The sequence below is a fragment of the Homo sapiens genome, chromosome 8 (genome assembly GCF_000001405.40).
Source record: "Homo sapiens chromosome 8, GRCh38.p14 Primary Assembly".
Lineage (NCBI taxonomy): Eukaryota > Metazoa > Chordata > Mammalia > Primates > Hominidae > Homo > Homo sapiens.
The window spans coordinates 47149718-47158210 of NC_000008.11; the positions used below are offsets into that span (position 1 = coordinate 47149718).

The 8493-nt window shown below is 41.9% G+C and overlaps 1 pseudogene; it reads left to right on the forward strand.

The window, feature by feature from the left end:
* On the forward strand, window positions 7370-8085 carry RPL10AP2 (ribosomal protein L10a pseudogene 2; annotated as a pseudogene).

Here is an 8493-nt window from a genome sequence, read left to right on the forward strand (position 1 = left end):
AGTGGCGGGTACTTGTTGTCCCAGGTACTCGGGAAGCTGAGGCAGGAGAATGGCGTGAACCCGGGAGACAGAGCCTGCAGTGAGCTGAGATCGCACCACTGCACTCCAGCCTGGGCGACTGAGCAAGACTCCATCTCAAAAAAAATAAATAAATAAAAAGAAAAAGGGAAACTCTTACACGCTATTGGTCGCAATGTAAATTAGTGTATATAATACTGTGAAAAAAGCTGGAGTTTCCTCAACAAATTAAAAATACAATTACTAGTTCTTCTAGTCATCCCCACACTGGGTATGCATTTAACGCAAAGGATATCCATTTCTTAAGGAGTTATTTGCCTTCCCATGTTTCATGAAGCACTATTCACAATATCCAAGATGTGGAATCAACCTACCTGGCCATCCACAGATGAAGGGATAAAGAAACTGCAGTATATCTGCACAATGCAATGCACTCCTTGAGAAGAAAATGTCATTTTCATTTGGAGCCATACAGATGAACCTGGAAAATATGTTAAATAAAATAATCCAGGCATAGAAAGATAAGCACAGAATCATCTCACTTATATGAAATTCAAAAAAACTTCACGTTCAATCAGTAGAAGGTACAGTACTAGTCTTCTGAGAAGAGTGGAAGGAGGGGTTGGGAGTGATTGGTTATGGAAACAAAGTTGCAGTTAGTTAAGACAAACACATTCTTGTGTTCTATACCACAGCTGGATGACTCTGGTTAACAAAAAAAAAAAAGTTTTTTTCAAAAAAAGCTAGAAGGGAGCAATTTGAATGTTCTCACAACAGAGAAATAATACCTTCATGAAGGAATGGATATGCTAAGTACCGTGATGTGATCACTACTAAAAACATACATGTATCAAAATGTCCCAGAGGAAACAAAAAGTACCAGCATACCCTCTAATTACATATTTTATTATACACAGAAATTTAAGAAATACGAATACACAATGCTAATGTTCATATGGAACCACAAATGGTCCTGAATATCTAAGGAATCCTGAGAAATACAAACCAACTTGGAGGATTCACAATCCCTGATATCAAAATTATATTGCAAAGCTGTAAGTATCCAAAATACCTGCTACTGTGACATGAAATGCCACTGTGCTCCAGCCTGGGTGAGAGAATGAGACTCAGTCTCAAAAAATACATACTGTTAGAAAATTTCAGGGAATCATGAGTGATAACTGTGTACATGTACCAAACATGTACACAGAGAAAAAAATACTAAGTAGCATCAAAATACAGATCCAAACTAATTGGGCAAAGACCCTGAATAGACGTGAATAAACATCTCTGCAAAGATGATACAAAACTGACCAACAAGTAAGAGAAAAGGTCAACATCACTACTCATCAGAAAAAAAACGAACTCCAAAACCACATTCAGGTTGGTCACGGTGGTTCATGCCTGTAATCTCAGCACTTTGGGAGGCTGAGGTGGGCGGATCCACTTGAGGTCAGGAGTTCAAGACCAGCCTGGCCGTGGTGAAACCCTGTCTCTACTAAAAATACAAAAAAACTAGCCAGGCATCATGGTGCACGCCTGTAATCCCAGCTACTAAGGAGGCTAAGGCATGATAATTGCTTGAACTCAGGAGGCTGAGGCTGCAGGGAGCCGAGATCTCATCAATGCACTCCAGCCTGCGTGACAGAGCAAGCCTCAGTCTCCAAAAAAAAATTAAAAAACCACACACACATTCAGATGCCATTTCACTTACTGGAATGAATGTTACTAAAAATATTTTTAAAAACTTTTTTTGAGACAGGGACTCACTCTGTCACCCAGGCTGGAGTGCAGTGGCATGGATCATGACTCACTGCAGTCTTAACCTCTGGGGCACAAGTGATCCTTCCACCTCAGCCTCCTGAGTACCTGGAACTACAGGCACGCACCCACCACACCTGGCTAATACTTTTTTATTTTTGGTACAGATAAAGTTTTGCCATGTTGCCTAGGCTGGTCTCGAATTCTTAGGCTCAAGTGATCCTACCCACCTCGGCCTCCCAAAGTGCTTGGATTATAGGCATGAGCCACCATTCCTAGCCACACACACAAAAAAAAATCTAAAAAAGAAGAATGCTGGTATGGATTTGAAGAAAAGGGAACTCTTTTTTCCAGTTGGGGGAAAGATAAATTAGTATATACATTACGGTAAAGAGCTGGAGTTCCCTCAAAATTTGAAAGTACAACTACCAGGAGGCCAATGTGGGCAGATTGCTTGAGCTCAAGAGTTCACGACCAGCCCAGGTAACAGGCAAAACTCTCTATCTACAAAAGTTAGGCAGGCATGGTGACACATGCCTGTGGTACCAGGTACACAGAGGCTGAGGTGGGAAAATTTCTTGAGCCTGAGATGTGGAGGCTGCAGTAAGCCAAGACTGTTCCACTGCACCCCAGCATGGACAACAGAGTGAGACCCTGTCTCAAAAAAAAAGAAAGAAAATACAACTACCATATAATCTAACATTCCCACTACTGGGTATGCCTCCAAAGCAAGTGAAATCAGCATCAGAGATTAGAAAGAGACAATGGGGAGAGAGATTTTCTTCATCAAACTCTTTTGGGAAAACCAATATCCATATGCAAAGAATGAAACAGGACCCTTCTGTTACACAATGCACAAAAATCAACTCAAAATGGATTCAAAACCTCAACACAAGACCTGAAACCATGAAACATCATAAAATTCCTATAAGAAAAGACAGGAAGCTTACTTTCAGGGCAATTTGAAGCCATACTCACAGGTTGCAAGGAGTGGGGAAAAAAAAGAACAGAAACAAAAGAAAAAACGGAATACACAGGGGTACAGTCTCATTGAGAATGGAATCATTTGTGAAATATCTTAATTGGGCACCAAAATTCCAAGCAACAGAAGCAAAAATAGACATGCATAGCTCCATGAAAGTGAGAAGTTTTTGCAAGGCAAAGGAAACAATGAACCCAATGAGAAAGGCTGGGAGAAAATTTCAAGGCATTACATATCTGCTAATGGGTTGTTATGGAAAATATGCAACACATTAACAATACTAGGTAGTGGTCCAGTTCCAAGATGGCCGAATAGGAATAGCTCCGGTCTGCAGCTCCCAGCGTGCTCAACACAGAAGATGGGTGATTTCTGCACTTTCAACTGAGGTACCTGGTTCATCTCATTGGGACCAGTTGGGCAGTGGCTGCAGCCCACGGAGGGTTAGCCAAAGCAGGGTGGGGCATCGCCTCACCCAGGAAGCACAAGGGGTCTGGTTATTTCCCTTTCCTAGCCAAGGGAAGCCATGATAGACTGTACCGGGAAAATCGGGACACTGCCACCTAAATACTGCGCTTTTCCAACAGTCTCAGCAAACGGCACACCAGGAGATTATATCCCATGCCTGGCTCAGTGGGTCCCATGCCTGGCTCAATGGGTCCCATGCCTTGCTCACTGCTAGCACAGCAGTCCAAGATCAAACTGTGAGGTGGTAGCCCTGCTTGGGGAGGGGTGTCCACCATTGCTGAGGCTTGAGTAGGTAAACAAAGCAGCTGGGAAGCTCGAACTGGGTGGAGCCCACCACAGCCCAAGGAGGCCTGCCTGCCTCTGTAAACTCCACCTCTGGGGGCAGGGCATAGCTGAACAAAATGCAGCAGAAACTTCTGTAGACTTAAACGTCCCTGTCTGACAACTCTGAAGACAGCAGTGGTTCTCCCAGCACGGTGTTTGAGCTCTGAGAACGGACAGACTGCCTCCTCCAGTGGGTCCCTGACCCCCATGTGGCCAAACTGGGAGACACCTCATACAGCCGGGTGCCCTTCTGAGATGAAGCTTCCAGAGGAAGGATCAGGCAACAATACTTACTGTTCTGCAATATTTGCTGTTCTGCAGCCTCTGCTGGTGATACCCAGGCAAACAGGGTCTGGAGTGGACCTCCAGCAAACTCCAACAGACCTGCAGCTGAGGGACCTGACTGTTGGAAGGAAAACTAACAGGAAGGAATAGCATCAACATCAACAAAAAGGACATCCACGCCAAAACCCCATCTGTAGGTCACCATCATCAAAGACCAAAGGTAGATAAAACCACAAAGATGGGGAGAAACCGGAGCAGAATAGCTGAAAATTCTAAAAACCAGAGCGCCTTTTCTCCTCCAAAGGATCAGAGCTCCTCGCCAGCAACGGAACAAAGCTGGACGGAGAATGACTTTGACAAGTTGACAGAAATAGGCTTCAGAAGGTCAGTAATAACAAACTTATCTGACCTAAAGGAGGATGTTCGAACCCTTCACGAGGAAGCTAAAAACCTTGAAAAAACATTAGATGAGTGGCTAACTAGAATAAACAGTGTAGAGAAGACCTTAAATGACCTGATGAAGCTGAAAACCATGGCACTAGAACTACGTGACACATGTACAAGCTTCAGTAGCCGATTCGATCAAGTGGAAGAAAGGGTATCAGTGATTGAAGATCAAATTAATGAAATTAAACAGAGAAGTTTAGAGAAAAACAAGTAAAAAGAAATGAAAACCTACAAAGAGACTTAGACTCCCACACAATAATAATGGAAGATTTTAACACCCCACTGTCAATATTACACAGATCAATGAGACAGAAGGTTAACAAGGATATCCAGGATTTGAACTCAGCTCTGCACCAAGCAGACCTAATAGACATCTACAGAACTCTCCACCCTAAATCAACAGATTATACATTCTTCTCAGCACCACATCGCACTTATTCCAAAATTGACCACATAGTTGGAAGTAAAGCACTCCTCAGCAAATGTAAAAGAACAGAAATCACAACAAACTGTCTCTCAGACCACAGTGCAATCAAATTAGAACTCAGGATTAAGAAACTCACTCAAAAACGCACAACTACATGGAAACTGAACAACCTGCTCCTGAATGACTACTGGGTAAATAACAAAATGAAGGCAGAAAAAAGATGTTCTTTGAAACCAATGAGAACAAAGACAATGTACCAGAATCTCTGGGACACATTTAAAGCAGTGTGTACAGGGAAATTTATAGCACTAAATGCCCACAAGAGAAAGCAGGAGAAATCTAAAATCGACACCCTAACATCACAGTTAAAAGAACTAGACAAGCAAGAGCAAACAAATTCAAAAGCTAGCAGAAGGCAAGAAATAACTAAGATCAGAGCAGAACTGAAGGAGATAGAGACACAAAAAAACCCTTCAAAAAATCAATGAATCCAGGAGCTGCTTTTTTGAAAAGATCAACAAAATTGATAGACTGGTAGCAAGACAAAGAAGAAAAGACAAAGAAGAAAAGAGAGAAGAATCAAATAAACGGAATAAAAAATGATAAAGGGGTTATCACCACCAATCCCACAGAAATACAAACTACCATCAGAGAACACTATAAACACCTCTATGCAAATAAACTGGAAAATCTAGAAGAAATGAATAAATTCCTGCACACATACACCCTCCCAAGACTAAACCAGAAAGAAGCTGAATCCCTGCATAGACCAAAAACAGGCTCTGAAATTGAGGCAATAATTAATAGCCTACCAACCAAAAAACGTCCAGGACCAGACGGATTCACAGCCGAATTCTACCAGAGGTACAAAGAGGAGCTGGTACCATTCCTTCTGAAACTATTCCTATCAATAGAAAAAGAGGGAATCCTCCCTAACTCGTTTTATGAAGCCAGCATCATCCTGATACCAAAGCCTGGCAGAGACACAACAAAAAGAGAATTTTAGACCAATATCCCTGATGAATATTGATGCGAAAATCCTCAATAAAATACTGGCAAACCAAATCCAGCAGCACATCGAAAAGCTTATCCACCATGATCAAGTTGGCTTCATCCCTGGGATGCAAGCCTGGTTCAACATACACAAATCAATAAATGTAATCCATCACATAAACAGAACCAAAGACAAAAACCACGTGATTATCTTAATAGATGCAGAAAAGGCCACTGACAAAATTCAACAGCCGTTCATGCTAAAAACTGTCAATAAACTAGGTATTGATGGAATGTATCTCCAAATAATAATTTATGATAAACCCACAGCCAATATCATACTGAATGTGCAAAAGCTGGAAGCATTCCCTTTGAAAACTGGCACAAGACAGGGATGCCCTCTCTCACCACTCCTATTCAACATAGTGTTGGAAGTTCTAGCCAGGGCAATCAGGCAAGAGAAAGAAATAAAGGGTATTCAATTAGGAAAAGAGGAAGTCAAATTGTCCCTGTTTGCAGATGCCATGATTGTATATTTAGAAATCCCCATCGTCTCAGCCTAAAATCTCCTTAAGCTAATAAGCAACTTCAGCAAAGTCTCAGGGTACAAAATAAATGTGCAAAAGTCACAAGCATTCCTATACACCAATAACAGACAAACAGAGAGCCAAATCATGAGTGAACTCCCATTCACAATTGCTACAAAGAGAATAAATTACCTAGGAATCCAACTTACAAGGGATGTGAAGGACCTCTTCAAGGAGAACTACAAACCACTGCTCAACGAAATAAACAAGGACACAAACAAATGGAAGAACATTCCATGCTCAAAGATAGGAAGAATCAGTATCATGAAAATGGCCATACTGCCCAAGGTAATTTATAGATTCAATGCCATTCCCATCAAGCTACCAATGACTTTCTTCACAGAATTGGAAAAGACTAAAGTTCCTATGGAACCAAAAAAGAGCCCACATTGCCAAGACAATCCTAAGCAAAAAGAACAAAGCTGGAGGCATCATGCTACCTGACTTCAAACTATACTACAAGGCTACAGTAACAAAAACACCATGGTACTGGTACCAAAACAGAGATATAGACCAATGGAACAGAACAGAGGCCTCAGAAATAACATCACACATCTACAACCATCTGATCTTTGACAAACCTGACAAAAACAAGAAAAGGGGAAAGGATTTCCTACTTAATAAATGGTGCTGGGAAAACTGGCTAGCCATATGTACAAAGCTGAAACTGGATCCCTTCCTTACACCTTATACAAAAATTAATTCAAGATGGATCAAAGACTTAAATGTTAGACCTAAAACCATAAAAACCCTAGAAGAAAACCTAGGCAATTCCATTCAGGACACAGGCATGGGCAAAGACTTCATGACTAAAAAACACCAAAAGCAATGGCAACAAAAGCCAAAATAGACAAATGGGATCTAATTAAACCAAAGAGCTTCTGCACAGAAAGAAACTACCATCAAAGTGAACAGGCAAACTACAGAATGGGAGAAAATTTTTGCAATCTACCCATCTGACAAAGGGCTAATATCCAGAATCTACAAAGAACTTACACAAATGTACAAGAAAAAAACAAACAACCCCATCAAAAAGTGGGCAAAGGATATGAACAGACATGTCTCAAAAGAAGACATTTGCTCTTTTCCGGTTAGCGTGGCGGGAGAAGCCATGAGCAGCAAAGTCTCTTGCGACACCCTGTACAAGGCGGTGCGGGAAGTCCTGCATGGGAACCAGTGCAAGCGCCACAAGTTCCTGGAGACGATGGAGTTGCACATCAGCTTGAAGAACTATGACCCCCAGAAGGACAAGCGCTTCTCGGGCACCGTCAGGCTTAAGTCCACTCCCCACCCCAAGTTCTCTGTGTGTGTCCTGGGGGACCAGCAGCACTGTGACGAGGCTAAGGCCATAGATATCCCCCACATGGACATCAAGACGCTGAAAAACCTCAACAAGAATAAAAAACTGGTCAAGAAGCTGGTCAAGAAGTATGATGCGTTTTTGGCCTCAGAGTCTCTGATCAAGCAGATTCCACGAATCCTCAGCCCAGGTCTAAATAAGGCAGGAAAGTTCCCTTCACTGCTCACACAAAATGAAAATATGGTGGCCAAAGTGGATGAGGTGAAGTCGACAATCAAGTTCCAAATGAAGAAGGTGTTATGTCTGGCTGTAGCTGTTGGTCACGTGAAGATGACAGACGATGAGCTTGTGTATAACACTCACCTGGCTGTCAACTTCTTGGGGTCATTGCTCAAGAAAAACTGGCAGAATGTCCGGGCCTTATATATCAAGAGCACCATGGGCAAGCCCCAGCGCCTATATTAAGGCACAATTTGAATAAATTCTATTACCAATTAAAAAAAAAAAATGAAGACAGTTATGCAGCCAACAGACACAGGAAAAAATGCTCATCATCACTGGTCATCAGAGAAATGCAAATCAAAACCACATTGAGATACCATCTCACACCAGTTAGAATGGCAGTTATTAAAAAGTCAGGAAACAACAGGTGCTGAAGAGGATGTGGAGAAATAGGAACACTTTTACACTGTTGGTGGGAGTGCAAACTAGTTCAACCATTGTGGAAGACAGTGTGGCGACTCCTCAAGGATCTAGAACTAGAAATACCATTTGACCCAGCAATCCCATTACTGGATATATGTCCAAAGGATTATAAATCATGCTACTATAAAGACACATGTACAAGTATGTTTATTGTGGCACTATTCACAATAGCAAAGACTTGGAACCAACCCAAATTTCC